Raw genomic sequence first — 24,706 nt, forward strand, 5'->3', positions numbered from 1 at the left:
CTCTGAAAAAAATCAATAAATCATTTAAGCTTGCTCTCTAGTTCTAGACACATTTATTTTGCAAGTTGGCCTGTCTAAATTGTGATAGACTAGAACGCAAATAAAGTAGGTCTCTCATTTCATGACTACTCTACTGCCCACACCTCCCCTTCTCCTGATAAAGTCAATCAGAAGCTCCTGAGAAGAGTCTAATTTTTACCAAAAATATTTTCACCACAAGTATTTTAGGGCTGCGTACAGTGGCTCATGCCTGTGATATCAGGCACGTTGGGAAGCCAAGGAGGGAGGATCGCTTGAGCCCAGGGAGTTCAAGGCTAGCCTGGGCAACATAGAGTGACACCAGCTCCACAAAAAAATTAAAAAATTAGCCATCCATGGTGGCATGCGCCTGGGGTTCCAGCTATTCAGGAGGCTGCTGGGAGGATTGGGAGGATTGCTTGAACCCAGGAATGCGAGGCTGCAGTGAGCGGTGATTGCACTGCACTCCAGTCTGGGCAACAGAGTGAAACCCCGTCCAAAAAAAGAAAGTATTTTTATTTTCTTTTACTCAAACCTTTGGCTATCTGTAATATATATAAAGCAAGAATAGTGTAATTAATGATAATGCAAAAGAAAAGTAATAATGATACTGGTGACTTTTTATAACAATTTTTAGAATATATAAATAAAAATTAGCAGCATAAGAAATGCTTAATTCAATATAATTAAATATGAGAGAATATCCTTCAGGAGAGAAAACTTAAATATAGCATTTTATAATATTAAACCTTTACAAGGTTCAGTTCATGGGTTTTTAAAATTGTTTTGTTAGGATCAAATTATACACTTTGACAAAGAGGTCATTTCTATACTGAAAAACAACAACAACAACAACAAATAACCAAAAGCCAGTAAATAATATCAAAACTCCCAAAAAACGATCCTGATGCACACCAACAGCTTCAGATAAGACAGAAAATCCCAGCTCAAGATAGGTCTTGCAACATAATGAGAGGAAAAAAATGATAAGAAATGGCTTAATCAAATTCCTTTACAATAATTAGTTCGATTTTACCAAAGAGAATAATTAGCCATGGTTTAAACTAACCAGATATATATATCTGCTGTAACTATTAGATTAAAATCAGTGATTTTCCAGAATATCTCCTTTGAAAGTAGTATGCAGATAACATCTCATAGAATAAAGATGATCTAAAAACTCAGATGACCATTTACCAAAAATAATTGTTAAACCTTCATTATGTACAAGAAATTAAAGGTAGTATTAGATGAACGTAATACAATCCATCAATACAAATTGCAGTTTAAAATATTTTCTCAATAATATCTAATGTGTACAGCAAAAAAAAATTAACAAAAATATCCTTATATAGCAGTGAATAAAATTGGAATAAAATCCTTTTTAGAGCTTTATATAATGACCTGTGGTAGCTTGCAGTCTCCCTCCAGCTTTTACTTCCAACTCAACATAAATTTGAATCCAAATTATCAATCTTTCTGTCCTCATTCTGGTAACTTAATACACCTGGATCTAACTATAAATGTTATTTTCTTTTTGTATTTGAAACCTGCAGTTCTCAGAGATTGCGAAGGAAACAAATCAAGGTTGAGCTTAAAGAAAAAAAAAAAAAAGCTTCAGTACAGTTGCAAATTCATAATGGGCCCTTTTAGTCCCCTATTCAGCATAATTCCTGCTGACTTCTGAAGAGATGCAATTCCTTGCCCCCGCCAATACCCCCCAAAAACACACAAACACACACCATAGGCCACAGTACCCAGAATAGAACCTATGGTAATCAAAAAGAAAAATAACTGCTCACTTGTTGAACAGGATTAACAGTCCTCCTTGTTTCTGAAGTTTACTAGAGGTTTTCTGTTATTAAAACACTGCATTTTAGGCAACCCATTAGGAGCAAAACTACAGCATCATTTCAATAGATTCAGAAAAACTATTCTGACATTCAACACCACTCATGATTTTTAAATTGAAAAAAAAACTTTTTACTAGAACTAGAAGAAAACCACCTTAATGTGATCAAGGGAAATAAATGTATCTTTCCAAAATTCTACAGGAAACATAATACACAATGGTGACACATTAGAAGCACTGCCCTTTAATCAGTTCAAAACCAGCCTGGCCAACATTGCGAAACCCCGTCTCTACTAAAAATACAAAAATTAACCAGGCATGGTGGCGCGTGCCTGTAATCCCAGATACTAGGGGGGCTGAGGCAGGAGGATCGCTTGAACCTGGGAGGTAGAGGTTGTGGTGAGCCGAGTTCTTGCCACTGCACTCCAGCCCAGACAACAGAGCGAGACTCTGTCTCAAAAACGAAAACAAAAAAGAGTAAGACACAGATGCCCATTATCATCACTTTTACTCAACTGTAATAAAACTTCAAGATAGCACAGTAAGATCAAAAAAAGAAACAAAATACATAATGAGTAAAAAGGGGGAAAAAATTGCCATATTTTCTGACATGATCGTCACTTTAGGATACCCAAGAGGATCTATAGGCACTTTAGTAAGATAATTCAGAAGCTTTGGTGAATATATACGTAAAAATTAGGTTCCTGATTTTCATTTAGTATGTCTGCTTTCCCTAATATCCATGATTATTCCTTTCCTTTTCATTTGTCTTCTTCAGTTGGGTTAACTCTTCATTAAGAGTCACAAAATTAGAATTACACAATATATTAAATGCTAACGTGTGACAAAAGTGGAAATAACATTTCTTTCTCCCTTCTCAGAAGATCTGTTGTATTTTCATCGCTTTCTACTCCTATACCAAATTGCTTCTGTAATTACAATAAACTTTTAGTTGCCATTTTGGCCAGATCATGGGGGGTTGAGGAGCAGGGGGATTCTAAAATATATCCAATATATCCTGTTTCTTTCCTGAATCAGCATAAACCAGTCACAAATCATTATTCTTAGCAAACCAGCCCAATTTACTTAAGAGTATCACTTTGTAGCTGCCAAAAGTGAGAGCAGTTTGCCAACTCCCCACCCAGCTCTGCAGCCTCCAGTGGTATTCCTACACTTATTCCTTACCATTTGTTTAACCACTATTTTGCTTCCTAGATCTCAGAATCATCTGGAAATCTGCAATGTTTTACAACATGCTTTCAGAAGATTCCCATGTTTATGCACACCATTCCATTCAAAAGGGCCTAATTACCATACTTTTTATTTCCTATCCCTAATTGCTTCCAATCCAAGATGGATTTTTTGAAATTATCATTTAGTTATTTCACATTTTATGAACTTTTTCAAAGTCTAGCAAAATATTAGTATTAGCTGCTTACTTAACTGGTCAAAAACTATCCTCACTTTCTGTATGGGACATCTGTTTTTAACATTATCTTAAGAGTACAAACTCCTTGTTATACAACTCCTGCCCTTTTAGAATTACAAAAAATGTTCTCTGAATGGTTCAAATGTGATGAATGTCCTTCCCCAAGCCTTTATACTCCTTGATTACACTGTAGCCCTAATAACCAGGACCTCTTTCCTAAAATTTTCTTCCTCTTGTTTCTATAATTTTTCTTTCCAACCACCGACCTGACCTGTCAGCTTCTGACTCTTTTTCTAATGTCACCACTTTATGAACACATAGGGGTTCTCCAAGCTCTATCTTTGGCTACCTGTTTTCTCACCTTATCTTTTTTGGGGGTTTGGGGAAGAAGTTTCATAGTCCCATTCAAATTTCATGCCTTCAACTATCATCCTCTGAGGAAGTTTCCCAAATTTTTATCTATAGTTCTGGCCTGGATCCCAAGACCCATACCACAGCTGGCAAGGACACAACACCCAAGAGACACGTTGCCAGTTGCCTATACACAGCCTAAAAGGACTTCTCAACACAGCCTTGGACAGTCAGTATATTATCAGAGGAAACTAGGACTGAAGAAGAAACCCACTCACCACTTCCAATCATTCCCTAAATGTCTCTACCTGACATTCCATACCACCAACTTATACTCAGTATCTCAAACAAACAACTCATTATCTTTCCCCAAAACCTTTACTCTACATATGTCATCTTGTGGGGAAATCTTGTGAGTCTTCAGTAATTCTCTCTTCTGTACATTCAGATTCAAGCTGTTGCCCATTTTTATCGAGTAACATTATAGTATCTCTCAAATGTGTCTTTCATTTTCCAATATCATATCCAAATATAAGCATTGAATATCTCTTGACTAAGCTGCTAAAGCTGCTAGCTTCCTAACTAGTCATCTCATCTGGCGTCTCTTCCCACTTTTTCTTTTTGAGGTAGAGTCTCATTCTTTGGCCCAGGCTGGAGAGCAGTGGCGTGATTATGGTTCACTGCAACCTCAACCTCCCAGACTCAAGTGATCCTCTCACCTCAGCCTCCCAAGTAGCTGGGACTACAGGCATGCTCCACCATGCATGACTAATTGTTTTGTATGCTTTGTAGAAACAGGGTTTCACCATGCTGACCAGGCTAGTCTCAAACTCCTGGCCTCAAGCAATCTGCCTGCCTCAGCCTCTCAAAGTGCTGGGATTACGGGCATGAGCCACTGCGCCCAGCCTCTTCCCACTTTTTCAATCTCATTAAGTGCTGCAAAAGTAATCTGATCTCTTACTAATAAGCACTCAGCGACCACCCAAATTCCTTATTCTTGCAATCAGTATCTTTAACAAGATAGTTTAAGGTTACTTCTAATCTTACTTGTATGTCTCTATGTAAAGATGGCTATAATTGGTAGAATAAATACAGACATATAAATCATGATGTTTCTTCTAGCAGAAAGTCGCTCCTTTAAACTAGAGAAAATTGGGCCGGACGTGGAGGCTAACACCTGTAATCGCAGCACTTTGGGAGGCCGAGGCAAGTGGATCACCTGAGGTTAGAAGTTCGAGACCAGCCTGGACAAAATGGTGAAACCCCATGTCTACTAAAAATACAAAAATTAGCTGGGCAAGCTGCGTGTAATCCCAGCTATTTAGGAGGCTGAGGCAGGAGAATGACTTGAACCTGGGAGGCAGAGGTTGCAGTGAGCCGAGACCATGCCATTGCACTCCAGCCTGGGCGACAAGAGCAAAACTCCATCTCAGTCTATAAGTCAATAAAACTAGAGAAAACTGGAGGGCATGGAGAGAGAAGTTCAACAGAACTTGATAATGAAGTGAATAATGATAATGATGATGAATGAAAAAAGAAAAATCAAAAATGAATCTTAAATTTCTAGCTCATGCAGTGGGTTATATGATGATACTAAAAAAGGGAGGTGTCTGGGGAGGGATTAGAACTTATATTGTAAAGTGACTTTGACATCTCAAAGTGAAAATGGATAGAATATGGGCAGACATAAATCCTGATCTCAGAAGACAAGTGTTGACTAGAGATGTCACTCTTAGAATAAATGTAATAGAGATGATACTTTAAGCCTCAAATGTGTTTAAAGATCTAGAACAAATAGAGTTTAAAAGAAGAGAGAATGGAATTTTAAAAGAAGAGGCCTAGAACATGCCGATGTTAGAAGTCAAGCAGAGAAGGGAGAACTAATGGAGAAGACTAAGAAGAAATAACCTGAAGAATGTGACGTTTACAGCAGCCAAGAAGGAAAAGTATACTTAGATGAAGGCATGATCAGCAATGCTGAATGATATTAAGAGGAAAAGCAAGATGAAGATGGGGGGACAAAAGACCCATTAGATTTAGCATTTTTAAGTCTCAATAGCAACTTTAGTTGGCACCTGTTTGGACAACTGAGAAACCAGAGTGGAGTGCTATCCTATAAGGAGTAACAATGGGAGATGAGAAAATAAAGATGAAAAGGTAGCAAAGTAGAGATAAGTCCTTCAAAAAAGTTGCCTGTAAAAAGAAAGTGAAATGATATGGAGGATTCTATGTTATAATGCCTATAAAATGCTAAGAATAATGCATTATCTCAAGTAGTTCTATCTTTTCTACCACTGATAGTTCTCACTAAACATTATTCATCCACACTAACTTCAGGAACAATGCAAGGATGCCCAATACTACTCTATTCTGAATATTATTTGTTGATGAAATTAGGCTAGAGAACACTGAAAATATTAAGAAATAAGAATTGAAAAGAAGGCAGGGCACAGTGGCTCACCCCTAATCCTAGCATACTGGGAGGCCAAGCGAGTAGACTGCTTGAGCCCAGGAGTAGGAGACCAGCCTGGGTAACATGGTGAAACGCCTTATCTACAAAAAATAAAAAAATTAGCTGGGTGTGGTGGTGTGTACCTGTAGTCCCAGTTACTTGGAAGGCTGAGGTGGGAGAATCACTTGAGCCCCAGGGGTCTAGGCTACAGTATGCCATGATTGTGCCACTGTACTCCAGCCTGGGTGACAGACTAAGACACCGTCTCAAAAAAAAAAAAAAAAAGAATTGAAAAGAAGAAATAAAATGAGTAGAGGCTAGGCGCGGTGGCTCATACCTGTAACCCCAGCATTTTGGAGGCCGAGGCAAGTGGATCACCGGAGGTCAGGAGTTCGAGACCAGCCTGGCCAACAAAGAGAAACCCCGTCTATACTAAAAAAATACGAAAATTAGTCGGGCATGGTGGCATGCGCCTGTAATCCCAGCTACTCGGGAGGCTGAGGCAGGAGAATACCTTGAACCCGGGAGGCAGAGGTAGCAGTGAGCCGAGATCGCACCACTTCACTCAAGCCTGGGTGACAAGAGTGATACTCTATCTCAAAAAAAATAAAAAATAAAATAAACAAACTAGTAGAGAAAATAATTATACATAGAAGAACTAGAAAAGAAGAAATAAAACTATTTTCAGATGACCTGAGGGAATACCTGGGAAATCCTAGAAAACTGAAAATAAAACTCAATAAACAAAAGAATTCAGCAAGGTAGCAGGATACAAAATGAACACGAAAAAAAAACAGTTACACTTCTATACACAAGTAACAATTAGAATACATAAGGGATGAGAAAGCCCCCTTTTCTTTTTTTTTTTTTTTTATTAAAGTTCTAGGGTACATGTGCACAACATGCAAATTTGTTACATATGTATACATGTGCCATGTTGGTTTGCTGCACCCCTCAACAAGTCATTTACATTACATATTTCTCCTAATGATATCCCTTCCCCAACCCCTCACCCCACAACAGACCCCGGTGTGTGATGTTCCCTTCCCTGTGTCCAAGTGTTCTCATTGTTCAATTCCCACCTATGAGTGAGAACATGCAGTGTTTGGTTTTCTGTCCTTGAGATAGTTTGCTGAGAATGATGGTTTCCAGCTTCATCCACGTCCCTGCAAAGGACATGAACTCATCATTGTTTATGGCTGCATAGTATTCCATGGTGTATATGGGCCACATTTTCTTAATACAGTCTATCATTGATGGACATTTGGGTTGGTTCCAAGTCTCTGCTATCGTGAATAGTGCCACAATAAACATACGTGTCTATGTTTCTTTATAGTAGCATGATTAACAATCCTTTGGGTATATACCCAGTAATGGGATTGCTAGGTCAAATAGTATTTCTAGTTTTAGATCCTTCAGGAATCGCCACACTGCCTTCCACAATGGTTGAACTAATTTACACTCCCATCAACAGTGTAAAAGTGTTCCTATTTCTCCACATCCTCTCCAGCATCTGTTGTTTCCTGACTTTTTAATGATCGCCATTCTAACTGGCATGAGATGGTATCTCACTGTGGTTTTGACTTGCATTTCTCTGATGACCAGTGATAGTGAGTATTTTTTCATGTTTCTGTTGGCTGCATAAATGTCTTCTTTTGAGAAGAGCCTTTTCATATCCTTTGCCCACTTTTTGATTTGGTTGTTTGGTTTTCTCTTGTAAATTTGCTTAAGTTCTTTGTAGATTCTGGATATTAGCTCTTTGTCAGATGGGTGGAGTGTAAAAATTTTCTCCCATTCTGTAGGTTGCCTGTTCACTCTGATGGTAGTTTCTTTTGCTATGCAGAAGCTTTTTAGTTTAATTAGATCCCATCTGTCAATTCTGGCTTTTGTTGCCATTGCTTTTGGTGTTTCAGTCATGAAGTCCTTGACCATACCTATGTCCTGAATGGTATTCCCTAGGTTTTTTCTAGAGTTTTTATGGTTTTCGGTCTAACATTCAACTGCTTAATCAATCTTCAATTAACTTTTGTGTAAGGGGTAAGGAAGGGATCCAGTTTCAGCTTTACACATATGGCTAGCCAGATTTCTCAGCACCATTTATTAAATAAAGAATCCTATCCCCATTTCTTGTTTTTGTCAGGTTTGTCAAAGATCAGATGGTTGTAGATGTGTGGTGTTATTTCTGAGGCCTCTGTTATGTTCCATTGCTCCATATATCTGTTTTGGTACCAAGTACCATGCTGTTTTGGTTACTGTAGCCTTGTAGTATAGTTTGAAGTCAGGTAGCTTGATGCCTCCAGCTTTGTTCTCTTCGCTTACGATTGTCTTCGCAATGCGGGCTCTTTTTTGGTTCCATATGAACTTTAAAGTAGTTTCTGCGAATTCTGTGAAGAAAGTCATTGGTAGCTTGATGGCGATGGTATTGAATCTATAAATTACCCTGGGCAGTATGACCATTTTCACAATGTTGATTCCTCCTATCCATGAGCATAGAATGTTCCTCCATTTGTTTCTGTCCTCTTTTATTTCGTTGAGCAGTGGTTTGTAGTTCTCCTTGAAGAGATCCTTCACATCCCTTGTAAGTTGGATTCCTAGGTATTTTATTCCCTTGGTAGCGATTGTGAATGGGAGTTCACTCATGATTTGGCTGTTTGTCTGTTACGGGTGTATAGGAATGCCTGTGATTTTTGCACATTGATTTTGTATCCTGAGACTTTGTTGAAGTTGCTTATCAGCTTAAGGAGATTTTGGGCTGAGATGATGGGGCATTCTAAATACACAATCATGTCATCTGCAAACTGGGACAATTTGACTTCCTCTTTTCCTAATTGAATATCCTTTATTTCTTTCTCTTGCCTGATTGCCCTGGCCAGAATTTCCAACACTATGTTGAATAGGAGTGGTGAGAGATGGCATCCTTGTCTTGTGCTGGTTTTCAAAGGGAATGCTTCCAGTTTTTGCCCATTCAATATGATATTGGCTGTGGGTCTGTCATAAATACCTCTTATTATTTTGAGATATGTTCCATCAATACCTAGTTTATTGAGAGTTTTTAGCATGAAGGGCTGTTGAATTCTGTTGAAGGCCTTTTCTGCATCTATTGAGATAATCATGTGGTTTTTGTTGTTAGTTCTGTTTATGTGATGAATTACTTTTATTGACTTGTGTATGTTGAACCAGCCTTGCAACCCAGGGATGAGGCTGACCTGATCGTGGTGGATAAACTTTTTGATATGCTGCTGGATTCAGTTTGTCAGTATTTTATTGAGGATTTTTGCATCGATGATCATCAGGGATATTGGTCTAAAATTCTATTTTTTTTGCTATGTCTCTGCCAGGTGTTGGTATCAGAATGATGCTGGCCTTGTAAAATGAGTTAGGGAGGATTCCCTCTTTTCTATTGATTGGAATACTTTCAGAAGGAATGGTACCAGCTCCTCTTTGTACCTCTGGTAGAATTCAGCTGTGAATCCGTCTGGTCCTGGACTTTTTTTTTGGTTGGTAGTCTATTCATTATTGCCTCAATTTCAGAGCCTGTTATTGTTCTATTCAGAGATTCAACTTCTTCCTCGTTTGGTCTTAGGAGGGTGTATGTGTCCAGGAATTCATCCATTTCTTCTAGATTTTCTAGTTGCTTTGCGTAGAGATATTTATAGTATTCTCTGATGGTAGTTTGTATTTCTGTGGGATCAGTGATAATATTCCCTTTATCACTTTTGACTGCATCTATTTGATTCTTCTCACTTTTCTTCTTTATTAGTCTTGCTAGCGGTCTATCAATTTTGTTGATCCTTTCAAAAAACCAGCTCCTGGATTCATTGCATTTTTTGAAGCATTTTTTGTGTCTCTATCTCCTTCAGTTCTTCTCTGATCTTAGTTATTTCTTGCCGTCTGCTAGCTTTTGAATTTGTTTGCTGTTGCTTCTCTAGTTCTTTTAATTGTGACGTTAGGGTGTCGATTTCAGATCTTTCCTGCTTTCTCTTGTGGGCATTTAGAGCTATAAATTTCCCTCTACACACTGCTTTAAATGTGTCCCAGAGATTCTGGTACGTTGTGTCTTTGTTCTCATTGGTTTCAAAGAACATCTTTATTTCTGCCTTCATTTCGTTATTTACCCAGTAGTCATTCAGGAGCAAATTGTTCAGTTTCCATGTAGTTGTGCGGTTTTGAGTGAGTTTCTTAATCCTGAGTTCTAATTTGATTGCACTGTGGTCTGAGAGGCAGCTTGTTGTGATTTATGTTCTTTTACATTTGCTGAGGAGTGCTTTACTTCCAATTATGTGGTCAATTTTAGAATAAGTACAATATGGTGCTTAGAAGAATGCATATTCTGTTGAGTTGGGGTGGAGACTTCTATTGATGTCTATTAGATCCAATTAGTGCAGAGCTGAGTTCTAGTCCTGGATATCTTTGTTAACCTTCTGTCTCGGTGATCTGTCTAATACTGACAGTGGAATGTTAAAGTCTCCCATTATTATTGTGTGGGAGTCTAAGTCTCTTTGTAGGTCTTTAAGGACTTGCTTTTTGAAACTGGGTGCTCCTGTATTGGGTGCATATATATTTAGGATAGTTAGCTCTTCTTGTTGAATTGATCCCTTTACCATTATGTAATGGCCTTCTTTGTCTCTTTGGATCTTTATTGGCTTATAGTCTGTTTTATCAGAGACTAGGATTGCAACCCCTGCCTTTTTTTGCTTTCCATTTGCTTGGTAGGTCTGCCTCCATCCCTTTATTTTTAGCCTATGTGTGTCTCTGCACCTGAGATGGGTCTCCTGAATACAGCACAGTGATGGGTCTTGACTCTTTATCCAATTTGCCAGTCCGTGTCTTTTAATTGGGGCATTTAGCCCATTTACATTTAAGGTTAATATTGTTATGTGTGAATTTGATCCTGTCATTATGATGTTCACTGGTTATTTTGCCCGTTAATTGATGCAGTTTCTTCATAGCATTGATGGTTTTTACAATTTGGCATGTTTTTGCAGTTGCTCATATCGTTGTTTCTTTCCATGTTTACTGCTTCCTTCAGGAGCTCGCTCTTGTAAGGGAGGCCTGGTGATGACAAAATCTCTCAGCATTTAGTTGTGAAGGATTTTATTTCTCCTTCACTTATGAAGCTTAGTTTGGTTGGATATGAAATTCTGGGTTGAAAATTCTTTAAGAATGTTGAATATTGGCTCCCACTCTCTTCTGGCTTATAGGGTTTCTGCCGAGAGATCCGCTGTTAGTCTGATGGGCTCCCCTTTGTGGGTAACTCGACCTTTCTGTCTGGCTGCCCTTAACATTTTTTCCTTCATTTCAACCTTGGTGAATCTGACAATTATATGTCTTGGGGTTGCTCTTCTCAAGAATTTTTCCAAGGAGTATCTTTGTGGTGTTCTCTGTATTTCCTGAATTTGAATGTTGGCCTGCCTTGCTAGGTTGGGGAAGTTCTCCTGGATAATATCCTGAAGACTGTTTTCCAACTTGGGTCCATTCTCCATGTCAGCTTCAGGTACACCAATCAAACGTAGATTTGGTCTTTGCACACAGTCCCATATTTCTTGTAGGCTTCGTTTGCTTCTTTTTACTCTTTTCTTCTCTAAACTTGTCTTCTCGCTTTATTTCATTAATTTGATCTTCAATCACTGATACCCTTTCTTCCACTTGATCAAATCTGCTATTGAAGCTTGTGCGTGCATCACGAAGTTCTCGTGCCATGGTTTTCAGCTCCATCAGGTCATTTAAGGTCTTCTCTATGCTGTTTATTCTAGTTAGCCATTCGTCTAACCTTTTTTCAAGGTTTTTAGCTTCCTTGCGATGTGTTAGAGCATGGCTCCTTTAGCTCAAAGAAGTTTGTTATTACTGACCTTCTGAAGCCTACTTCTGTCAACTCATCAAAGTCTTCCTCCATACAGCTTTATTCTGTTGCTGGCAAGGAGCTGCGATGTTTTGGAGGAGAACAGGCGCTCCAGTTTTTAGAACTTTCAGCTTTTCTGCTCTGGTTTCTCCCCATCTTTGTGGTTTTATCTACCTTTGGTCTTTGATGTTGGTGACCTGCAGATGGGGTTTTGGTGTAGATGTCCTTTTTGTTGGTGTTGATGCTATTCCTTTCTGTTTGTTAGTTTTCCTTCTAACAGGTCCCTCAGCTGCAGGTCTGTTGGAGTTTGCTGGAGGTCCACTCCAGACTCTGTTTGCCTGGGTATCACCAGTGGAGGCTGCAGAACAGCAATTATTGCTGCCTGATCCTTCCTCTGGAAGCTTCATCCCAGAGGGGCACCCGCCTGTATGAGGTGTCTGTCGGCCCATACTGGGAGATGTCTCCCAGTTAGGCTACATGGGGGTCAGGGACCAACTTGAGTAGGCAGTCTGTCCATTCTCAGAGCTTAAATGCTGTGCTGGGAGAACCACTGCTCTCTTCAGAGCTGTTAGACAGGGACGTTTAAGTCTACAGAAGTTTCTGCTGCCTTTTCTTCAGCTATGCCCTCCCCACAGAGGTGGAGTCTATAGAGGCAATAGAACTTGCTGAGCTGCACTGGGCTCTGCCCAGTTCGAGCTTCCCGGCTGCTTTGTTTTCCTACTTAAGCCTCAGCAATGGGGGACGCCCCTCCCCCAGCCAGGCTGCACCCTCGTTGTTAGATCTCAGACTGCTGTGCTAGCAGTGAGCAAAGCTCCATGGGCATGGGACCTGCTGAGCCAGGAATGGGAGAGAATCTCCTGGTCTGCTGGTTACTAAGGCCATGGGAAAATCACAGTATTTGGGTGGGAGTGTCCCGTTTTTCCAGGTATAGTCTGTCACGGCTTCCCTTGGCTAAGAAAGGGAAATCCTCGACCCCTTGCACTTTCCAGTTGAGGTGATGCCCCGCCTTGCTTCAGCTCACCCTCCATGGGCTGCACCCACTGTCCAACCAGTCCCAGTGAGATGAACCAGGTACCTCAGTTGGAAATGCAGATATCACCCGTCTTCTGCATTCATCACACTTGGAGCTGCAGACCGGAGCTGTTCCTATTCAGCCATCTTGGAATGGAATTTTTTCAGAAAGCCCCTTTTTAATAGTAATTTTAAAAAGTAAAATATTTAGGAATAAACAGAAATGTTCAAAACCTACATAAAGAAAAATAAACATTCTTAAAACATAGAAAAGTAGGACTGTACAACTGAAAAAGAAATACCCTGTCCTTGGTTAGAACATCTCAACATCAATAGGTCACAAACTTACAAATCATAAAGCTTTTTACGGAGTTAGACAAGTTGATACTGAAGTTCAAATGGAAAAAGTTCAAGAAAAACTGGGAAATACTGAAAATAAATAGATATGAGGGGACTATCTCATTAACACATACTACAAGCATTAAAACATACTACAAAGCTGCTATAATGAAAACAGTGTAGGACTGCTACATGAACAGGCAGAACAGTGCAAATGAACAGAAAATCCAGAAATAAATTCCACTACAGATAGAAATCTAATATCTGTAAAGGTGATATAATAAATCATTAGCACAGTTATAGTCATTTTAAACAATAGACGAGAAAAAAAGATAAAATTCAATGTTTCTCATATCATACATAAAAATAAACTGCAAATGGATCAGAGATCTAATCATAAGAAAACTACAAGTACTTTTTAAAAGTGCAGGGAGCAGGAGAGAGGGATTCTTCCTATAAACTAAGAATTCATAAAAGAAAACGCTTTCTCAATAGAACTAAAGTACAGATATAAAATTTCGCAGGACAAAAATACATGAGAAGCAACATCAAAAAACAGGTAACAAACTGGAAGGAAACATTTGCAACATATATCACAGATAAATGCCTAATATCCCTACAAAGAACTTCTAAAACTGGGGGGAAAGCCCAAATATCCTATGGAAAGTTGCTCTTATACATATGAAAAGACATTCAAATCCACACATAAAAGATGAATGCAAATTAAATGTACCCAAAATTCCATTTCTCACCTATCACTTGGCAAAAATGGAAGTTTCACCATGCACTCTGTTTGCAAGGCTGTAGGGAAACAAGCACTCTCATACACTGCAGCAGGGAAGGCAAAATGTTACAGCCCCCATGCAGGGAACTGGGCAATATTCTAATAAAACTAAGTAAGTATTTGCCCTTTGAACCTTTTTGCCGTTGTTGTTAGCAACAAAGTCTCACTCTGTCACCCAGATTGGAGTGTAATAGCTCACTGCAGCCTTGAACTCCTGGGCTCAGGGGATCCTCTCAAGTAGCTGGGATTACAGGGGCAAGCCACTACACCGGGCTTAGTATTTGCCCCTTCAACCAGCAATCCCATTTCCAGGAATTTGCCCTGAAGATACACCTGTAAAACTACGAAAGTAAGTATCATTGCAGCATATTTGTAATTGTAAAATAGTGGAAACTACTTAAATGCGCAAGCATAAGAGATTGGTTGAAGAAACTACGGCACACACAAAGTAGTAAGCACCTGCAAAAACGAATGAGGAAAATCTCTACAAACTTATATGAGGTAATTTCCAAGAGATACTGATACATGAAAAAAGTGAACTGCAAAAGAACATATATGCTACTTTTTAGGTAAAAACAAGAAAAATAAGACAACATAAATATCTCTGCGTTATCTTTATAAAAATAAGTAAAGCCCAGAAAACAATAAAATTGGTTTCCTACAAAGTATGGGGTGGAATGGGGAGGAAGGAGTGACAATTTTCTGAGTATACCTTTTTGTACAGTTTTACTTTTTGGAAAAGTAAATAATTTCCTATATATTCAAAAAATTAAATCAATAAGGATGTAAAGAAAGGGGGCACAAAAGCTGAAAGAAAACTAATACAAGTGAACTATATTTCAAATTAATATCATAAACACACTTAAGGAATAAGAAAGAAAGAACTAAGTAATTATGAGAACAGTATTTGGTTACATACCCACAGGAATGAGTACAAAAAGGAGGGAGAACTTCAAACAAATTTCAAACTTTTTTTGGTATGTTTGTTTCTTATATGATTAACCAATCTTGAAACTGTTTTAGATCTATTATTTAGTTGAACAAAAAAGTAAATGTGTTGATACTGTTGGAAGCCAAGGTTCTCACTGTGAAAGACGGGACATATAAATATGAGAAGCAAGCAAGCAAGAAACCTGTGTGGATGGATTAGAATTAGAGAAACTGGTATATCTCTAAATAAAAAAAAATGCAGATGTATGTGTCCATGTATGTTTTTCAATATGCATTTGTGTATATATGTATAAATACAGATGCATGTGTATACATAAAGCTTATATATTTCCTACCTCTGTCCTCTAAAAGGGCCTAAAAGCCAAGACCCAGTAGCAATCAACACACTAGTGCCAAGATCTTGTTCGCTAATATTATTCCCACTAAAAACAATCAGAGCTCCTCAGAGAAATGGCTGCTTCCAAAGCTGGGGCAAAACAGATAAAAGATAATCCTGCAACAACTTCTTTTGTCAGAAATTAAGGAAGCACTGAAATATGTGATGGAGGACTGTCATGCACTTCAACTAACCAAACCTGGGCAATTTGAGTACCAAAAGCTCTATGACTTCTAAAGCTGTTTGGTCTTCCCAATCTTACCTTTTGAAATTCTGTCCCATAATTGTCCTTTCCTCTGTTTCCCCTAACCAGAGACATCTATCACTACAGTTGTGTCCTGTCTCTAGCACTCCATGATATAGTATTCTCGCTAACTTTTTTTTTTTTTTAAACAAATCCACAAGGAAAATTCTATGTTCTGGATTCTAGCTCTTGTACATTTATCAGAATGTACTATGCTCACTCCAATAAGCAACTAGAGGGCAGACTGTATATTTTACACTATTGTTTGCCCAAGGCCAAGTACAGAGCCTATTCTTTATTAGCAATTTGGTAAACATTTATTCAACTGAAATGTTTAATTTATCCCATTGCTCATGGTTTTCCTCTTTCCAGCAAACACTAAGAACAGTCAGTTTTCTTCCTTTCATTCATCCATCAAATCTGATTGGGATAAGTTCTATGCTCACTTTCTAATTAAGCAGTCACCAACCTTTTTGGCACCAGGGACTGGCTTTGTGAAAGACAGTTTTTCCATGAATGGGAAGGGAGCTGGGGAGAGATGGTTTCGAAATCAAACTGTTACACCTCAGATCATCAGGCATCAGATTCTCATAAGGAATGAGCAATGTGGATCCCTCGCATACACAATTCGTAACAGGGTTTGCACACCCATGAGAATCTAATGCTGCTGCTGATCTACTCACCATTCACCTCTTGCTGTGTGGCCCCATTCCTAACAGGCTGTGGACCGGTCCCAGTCCATGACCAGGGGATTGGGGACCCCTGTTCTAAATGACTTCTCAGTTACTCCAATCCTCAAAAATGTCTGCATGTGTAGCCCCTTCAGTACACAAGAGTCTTATCAGTACCATTTATGCGTAGCAATATTGGAAAGTATGTTTTATGTGGTATAACATCACAATTTCAGAAGTTGTCCATATCTCTTATTTTGAGTAAGATAAATAAATGTGGAAAGAAGTCAGTTTGTGCACATGTTAAAGGAAAAAAATTAAGATTTTTTTTTTCTTAAAAAAAAAAAGGATGCTATAGTCTAGTAAATTTGGGAAATACTGAATTGAACTAAGTTACTTACACCAGGTTCTCAGGTCTTTTAATACATCAACATATAATGGGATTCTCTTATGGGAAACAAAGTATTCAGTGCTTTCCGGATTTATGTGACCATGGGATCTTTACACTCCAAGCATCTCCTGGAAAAAATATACCATAGAACACACTTTGGAAATGTTTACTACACTATGACTGGCAGAAAACATCTTAAGTACCTGTGAACATAAGAAGATACTGCCATGGCCAAAAGAAAACACCTGATTAATACTACCAGGGTGACATGAAGCTTTCTACATAATACACAAAGTAGCTACTGATTCAAATTGCAATTGCTTAAAGACCAAAAGCCTATGAGCTCTAAATTAACTGTCTGTCTACTCCTGGGCCCCCAATAAAATTCTGGTGTGAGTTTCCACTTCCTCTCCCAATTCTTGAACTACGGATAACCAACTCCACTATGAGCACCCCACAATTAAAACACACATACACACAGAGAAAATGAAAGGTCTGAATTATGGCAGTGCTTCTCAGAGTTTAATATTCATATGAATGACCTAGAAATTTTGATGAAACACAGATTCTGACTTAGTAGGTATGGGGTTAGGTCTCAGATTCTGCGTATCTAGGACGCTCTCAGGTAACACCAATACTGTCTATGTACAGACCATAGTTTGGATAGTAAGTGTATAATGCGTATCAGGACAAAATGTTGAGGCCCCTAACTCATATCCAATGGCTATGTCTTTCAAACTACTTTCTGAAGATTTGATTCTTCCATCGGAAAACAATTAACTTTCATTAACACAGAAACTGTACACAAAAACTGAAGATACACTTAAATCCCTATTATCTGCTGATGATTATGTTTTACTAGAAATGGCAGTTTCCTGCAGAGTGCCATAAAAGTACAATTATCTAAAATCATTTTTAGTCTAAATCTTCGTTCTACCTGTCTTTCCAAATGCCCATACCAACACAGAAGCACACTGACTTTCACGGCAGCCAGGAACTGTCTCCAATTGTACTGACTTACAAGGCTGCAATTGTAGGCCCTGCCCCCAACCAAAAAAGACATGTATGAAGCCAGCATCTTTCTCAATGATTTACTGAAAGCAGCAGCTCATTTTAATAAAACCATCCCAAAACATAAAATTGATTAAACCAACTGCTGTGTTGGGCATACATGACAGCTGATCAAAATCATTCAAGAATTTTATTCTTACAGATTTTCTTTCAGGCTTTGAGAATTTTTCTCCCATTCCAAACTTTTATCTTGATACTGATATCACTGAAATAAAGAAAAAAAAAAGGATCTTTAAATCTATGAAATAGTTTTTAAATACAAAGTAGATCAATTCAAGAAAATATTTTAATAAACTGATTCATATACAACTTAATGTACATACTAAAGCTAATAACCACTTTTCTAGAACGTATTTTGTGTAACAAAATTAAGGGTTTATACTGAGTAACCTCTTATGATGTCAAACACTGTGTGGCTTTTCCTAGGCACAGCACTGTCATTTAGCAAAGTATTACAAAATTACACACGACATATTACCCTCATTCCTTAACAAGGAAAACTTTGTAAAATTAGATAGTAATTCTCTTTATGTTTCTTGATATTAAACACTGAGATTTTATTTCACTAAAACACAAAGATACTTATTTCTTTGCATGTTACATGATGCCTTTATTTTTTTATAATTAAGCAATTTTAGAGTATTTTTGTCACAACGAAGGACAAAGATAAGCCAACTGTTTAGATTCCTCTCCTTTATGTTGTGTCTTTGATCACTAACAATGCTGCGTGAACAGCCAACAGAAGGCTGACATTTCATAAAATATGCAGTGATAAAAACTAATACTGTAGCATCTGGGAGTGATATATAAAATGCAGAAATACACCTAATAACTGTGATCTTAAATTACAAGTTACTAAAAGCTAAATAAAAGGCATACCTAAGAACAAAAAAAATAGCAAGATTACAAAAGGCTTTCTTTTACTTCTATTTCTAAAAACAAATTTTAAAATAATTTAAGTCCATTAGACTTTTCCTACTACTCTACAACTTAAAAGCTCATTACTTTCTAAGAACAGGGTATCTGTACTATATACACCTCTCAACAACTGAAGAACATGTTACAAAACCACCAATGAAAGACCCTGTTCAAAATGCAGAGGAAGTTTTTCTTCTCGGATACTTAAAAATGTTAAAACTGCTAATGAAGTAAAACAACACGTAACTTTTATGACAAGACGCCAGAGAGAACGTCTAAAATAAAATTTAAAGTCCATAATCATCTAAACAAATATACTCTTAATACCAGTATTAATACATCCTTTCACAATCTAAGCCTTAAAGTCCTTGGTAAACCACCGGAAGCAAGTAAAATGTGCTCAAATATGTTTAAATAATTTTACCTTTACTACTAAACATTTGTTTTTTAATATTAAGAAGCAGGGAAGTCACACAATAAAGACAATCCAAGAGCAAACATTTGAATTTATCTTCATAGCATTTGGTTAAATATTCCACCTATATCCATCAAAATCACAGTCCAGCAGAAGTGTCTTATTGTTTTTTTAATATGTATGCTAAAGGGAAATGAAAAAACAAAGGCCATATTCAGCACTTCAAGAACTCTGAATTACACTTTGACTAAAGAAAATATACATGTAAGTATGTAGGAGGCAAGTGTCCTTGTGCTTATAATTAGCATCTGAATTCAGGGATTTTACTACTTAGGGCATACCCACTGCCTGTTATTCTTACCACGGTTTTTTATGTCACTTAATGGAGATAAATATTCTCTTCCCTTCTCATATTTACATCAACGATATTTAATTTTTTTAAGGCTGTTAAAATAGGTTAAACACCCATCTCAACATCACTCTTCATCTCCAACTGGACAAAGAATGGCATTACAAGACTGAGAATACAGAAGGCATATTTACATTCATAATGTTCCTAACTATAACATTTATGTAAATTATGTTTTTATATTTGCAAATACAATAATTTTTAGTTTCACTGCATATTTTGCCATTCTTTCAGCATTAACTTTCTATGGTTATTACAACCTCAAAAAATCATGCCTATGAAATATATGACATTGTTCATGCCACTAGATAAAAACACCTGAAGCAAAAAAATAATGTATCTATGCATAACATATCTACTTTCAATCTAATCTTATTCTCCTACAGAAGATAGCTTTAGTATATTAACTAAAAATTCCTAGTTGTTTGAGTTTAGAAAATCTTCCTTTTAGAATTATTTTCATTATCTTTTAACTATTTCACATGAGTTTACGTATCACATAAATGACATAAAATTTACTAAAATTATTTTAATGTCGGGCACCAATTAATCATTCTTTCCATTATGTTGTCTACTGAATTTACCCAGATATATAGCATTATGTGTATTTAGAAGAAAAGAATTAAGTTGGACCATTTGAAGACCTACACTTTCAAGAATAATTTACCCTAATCAAAATTTATTAGTGAAGTAAGAAAAATTATAAATACCAATGACAGCAGAGGGGAAAAAAGAGGTCAATTTTCTAGGTTTTCTGATTGTCAAAAAAAATGACAAACCACATTCTTCAACTATAACTAAGTAGGTAATTAAGAAATTAGCTGTAGAGCATCTTTCTCTCTCTTCCAGAATATAAAGTCCATGAAAGCTGAGTCCATACCTTTCTTGTTTAACTTTTTAATCAATGGTGCTTGAGTGTAGGCAACCAATTAAGATTTACGGGAAAAAAATAAGTGGGCATTTGTAATGAACTGTACATGGCTAAGAGAGATCCAAAGAAATATAACATGGTCCCTGCTTTCTTAACACTTAAAATCCAGTCAGCAACATAGGACTTAGACCCAAGTGAAAAACAAAAGCAAGTAATAGTACAAAATACTAAACAGGAAGTGCTTTGTGAGTAGCAACAAAGCAAAACAGGAATTCAGAAGATGGTGAAATCACAGTAGAACCATTGCAGAAAGACTTCACAGAGGGGGCAAGACAAGAGCTGCAAGTTGGAAAAAAGTACGTTAAGCTTTAGGTGGACAAAACAAAAAAAGTAGAAAGGCCATCATAGAGTAAAATGCAGAAAAGACACAAAACACTGAGAAATGAAGAAGGATATGCCAATGTAAAAACATTCTCAGTATGTTGGGACCATCCTGACAAAAATGAAAGCATTTTTGTTACTGGCCAGTGGAGGAAAAAACTAGGACAAATTTATGAGAGAACCTCAAATACCAGGCTGGAAAGTCTAAATTTCAATCTCTAGGCAAAGTGGGGCCAATGAAGGTTCCTAAGCAGGAGATTGTCTGGGTAAAAGCAATGCTTTAGGAAGATTAATCTGATGGCAATGCATAGGACAGATTTGAGGACAGCAGGGTACAAATTAAGAGACTTCTAAAGTATTCCAGGAATAAGGCTGCAGAGGAGTCATCTAGGCTTTTGAGAATGGTATAGAACTGGCAGGAGCAAAAACTACTAAGACAATACATTGACTAATGAGATATAATGGGTAAGAGAGAACAAGACTAGGAATTCTTAGATCTAAGATAAAGAGTCTGAAGGATAACAGGAGGGAACAAAGAATGGCTGGATCTGACTGGAGCGGACAGACAGTGGCAAGACGATGCTTCCAGTTCCAGACATTCACTGTGAGGGGACAGAGGGATGGAAACATAAAAATGAGGTTAAAAGTAGAGCTATAGATTTTAGAGTTCTCTGTGAATACATAATAGTTTAAAATCTTGAAAAGGAAGGGAAGAACAAAGAGCAGAGACTGAAAATTATACTACACTAACAAAATCTATAAATACACCTGAGGAAATTAACTAAAGTCAAATAAAATGGAATGACTATATAAGAGAGTTCCAGTACAGAAGGAATAACTCAAAAAAGGAGAACACAGGCCCATAAAGAGAGTGCTTGCAAAAACTTTACCCAACATTGTTAAACAAGCGGGGTCTTAGAATGTACTGCAAGGAAGAACAATTTTTAAATATTCTGGGTTTTTTTTTTTGAGAGAGAGAGAGAGAGAGGGGCTATGTTAGGATATAAATGAGAGACGAAAACTAAATATCTGAGGAAACAAAAACTTTTAAACATATAATTTCTTACTGTTTTGTTTCACTAAAAGAAAAAGCTGGACATTTTCCTTTTAAAAAGTCCTGAGTCCATACAGCATGCAAAGTAAATGCCCATACAAGATTAAAAGAAAAACACTGTCACGTGCTTTTTATGCTTTATATATCAATTATATTCACTTTCGTATTTTTTCACATCTGCATTAGCTCTTATTACTACTCTCTCAGGTTTAGGTCAGTATCCATATAAATTATACACTATATTTTTATATTTCCTAAATGCTATAAAATATTACAATGAGAAAAAAAATCTAACAAGTATTGTACCTATTTTTAAAAATACACACACTCCGCCGGGTGTGGTGGCTCACACCTATAATCCCAGCACTTTGGAAGGCTGAGGAGGGTGGATTACCTGAGACCAGGAGTTTAAGACCAGCCTGGCCAACATGGCGAAACCCCTTCTCTACTAAAAATACAAAAAATTAGCCAGGCATGGAGGTGGATGCCTGTAATCCCAGCTACTTGTGAGGCCGGGCAGGGGAACTGCTAGAACCCAGGAGGTAGAGGCTGCAGTGAAGCCAAGATCACGCCACTGCACTCCAGCCTGGGCAACAAGAGTGAAACTCTGTCTTAGGAAAAAAAAAAAAAATACACACACCCAATTTGCATGGTAGAGCCCACAGAAGAACATAGAATTCACAGAAATCAGGAAAAGTCCCCACCCTCTCCCCCCACTTCACCATGGGCCTAAAACAGAAAATAACAACATAAACTACAAGAAGAGAGACCCAACATGAAACATAAATTTAAATGTAAAATAAGGCTTTAGAAAAACGTTTTCCAGAGTGTAACTATCTGAAGAACCCTGGGAACGGTTTAATTGTATCAAGATTTAGAATTCCAATGGAAAGGTTAAAGCTTTATAATATATAATCTTTACCATCATATGCAAAGAAGAGAGATGCTCATTCATCAGCACTAGGAATTGTTAGGATAACTTATATGAATGTACTCACTGTACGTGGGTGTCTAACTCTACTAAAAGATATTTAAGCTAACCAATAAGTCAGATATGTTCTTAAAAATGCTAAGTGGTTATGTGTGTTAGATTTTCTGTATGGCATATTAATATACTTTTCCTGTATGATATAGTGAACTCAGTGATAATAAATATGTGCTGTGTCTGCCGCCTACATTTTCACTGACAGCACACGGAGTGTAAAACTGGCATTGTAAACTGAAAAGAAAGAAATTAACTTTAGAGGTATGTAGCATTAGTTTTATCTTATGCATTACTAAATCTAAATGCAGATGGATTATTAAGGACACAAGTGTGTATAAATTAGCAAGTATCAAATATCTATTTAGCTTATTAAAATAAAATATAGAATAGAAAATCATAAATTGGTCTTTTTTTTAGGCTGTCCAAAGAACAAGTTAATCCATTTGAATACAAATTATATTCTGTGCTTTGGGGAAATTCCAGACTACAAATTTAAGTTGAAGAGTAGACATAAATGGTAATTTAGCCATTAGATACACATAAAATACATAATTGTTGTCTTTGATTAATGTAGTATAATCTAATAAAAAATTTCAAAAAAGTGAAATTAAAACATTCAAATACTTTATTAAAAGGCAGCTGTGCTAGTAAAATTATTTGTTTCTGTAACAGCTGTTTAAATAAATGTAATACCCAGTTAATTCTTTAGTATAAAATAAAGTCTAAAGGTAGAGGGAGGAAAAAAGTCTGTCTTAATTCCTCTTCTTCACATGTAACAGTGTAAGGACAGAGTCAAACACAAGTAGCAATACAAATTTAGATGCTACAAACTCAGGACTCACTAGTTACTTTGCTACTAAACACTGAGGAATGTGAGAAAAATAAGCTTTAGTGAGAAAGAAGTAAAACAGTGATGTAAGTAGTCATATTACAAAACATGTGGCACCTTTATACATAAATAATAGGCCCCCAAAAGAAGCTAGGAACAGCCTTGAGTTGACAGGCAACAAGAAAATGGGGGCCTGGGTCCTGCAATCACAAGGAACTGAATTTTGCCAAAAAACTGAATACACAGGAAACGGATTTTCTGACATTTGAACTTTAGCATGCTACATCTCATACTGGACTTCTGACCTACAGAACTATAGAATTAAAAACTTGTGTTGTTTTAAACCATTAAATTTGTGATAATTTGTACAGAAGTTACAAAAAACTAATACATGAGGGCTAAAAATAAGGCAGGATGACAGGCAAACAGAGGAACTGTACCAAGAAAACTGGGTTTATGATCACCCTATTCAGCACAATACCCACACACAGCTAACTAGCACATGTTTTTGACACGAAATCAGTTTCCCCAATACAGAATGCAAACTTTTACCTTAAGAGGAGGAAGTTCTCAACCAAGTCATTTTTCATTTCTGTTAACTAATTTCCTAAAAAGAATTAAACTCCACAAGCAAGCTGCAAATACTGACATACCTACTTTTATTGAGCTTTGTTTTATTGTGCTTTGCAGATGCTGCATTTTTTTTACAAATGTACGTTTGTGGTAACCCTGTGTTGAGCAAGTCTATCATATATATGTGCGATACAATATTTTTTCCAACAGTATGTGCTCACTTTATGTCTCTATGTCACATTACCATAATTCTCACAATATTTCAAATGTTTTCATTATTATCATATCTGCTATGGTGAACTGTGATCAGTGGCCTTTGATGTTACTATTATAATTATGTTGGGGCACCACAAACCACACCCAATAAAGCAGATAACTTAATCAATGAATGTGTTCTGACTGCTCCACAGATCAGCCATTCTGCCATCTCTCCCCTTCTCTCCTCAGGCCTCCCTATTCCCTGAGATATGACAATACTGAAATTAGGTCAAT

The 24,706-nt window shown here is 37.2% G+C and overlaps 1 protein-coding gene across 65 annotated transcripts in view; it reads right to left on the reverse strand.

Moving 5' to 3' along the window:
- The window catches only part of TBC1D5 (TBC1 domain family member 5), a 585,470-nt gene that overhangs the window by 448,768 nt on the left and 111,996 nt on the right, over nucleotides 1-24,706 (reverse strand). For 34 of the 65 annotated variants that reach the window (XM_047449296.1, XM_011534283.4, XM_047449314.1 and 31 more), the window contains one exon: nucleotides 17,920-17,984. The exons of 10 other annotated variants lie outside the window; for them this stretch is intronic. The gene's annotated coding sequence lies outside the window, so the exon portion shown is untranslated. Of the gene's footprint in view, nucleotides 1-16,718; nucleotides 16,837-17,919; nucleotides 17,985-24,706 lie in introns of all 65 variants that reach the window. 21 more of the 65 variants (XM_047449293.1, XM_011534284.3, XM_047449294.1 and 18 more) reach the window with 1 other exon arrangement.

This window comes from Homo sapiens, chromosome 3 (assembly GCF_000001405.40).
Source record: "Homo sapiens chromosome 3, GRCh38.p14 Primary Assembly".
Lineage (NCBI taxonomy): Eukaryota > Metazoa > Chordata > Mammalia > Primates > Hominidae > Homo > Homo sapiens.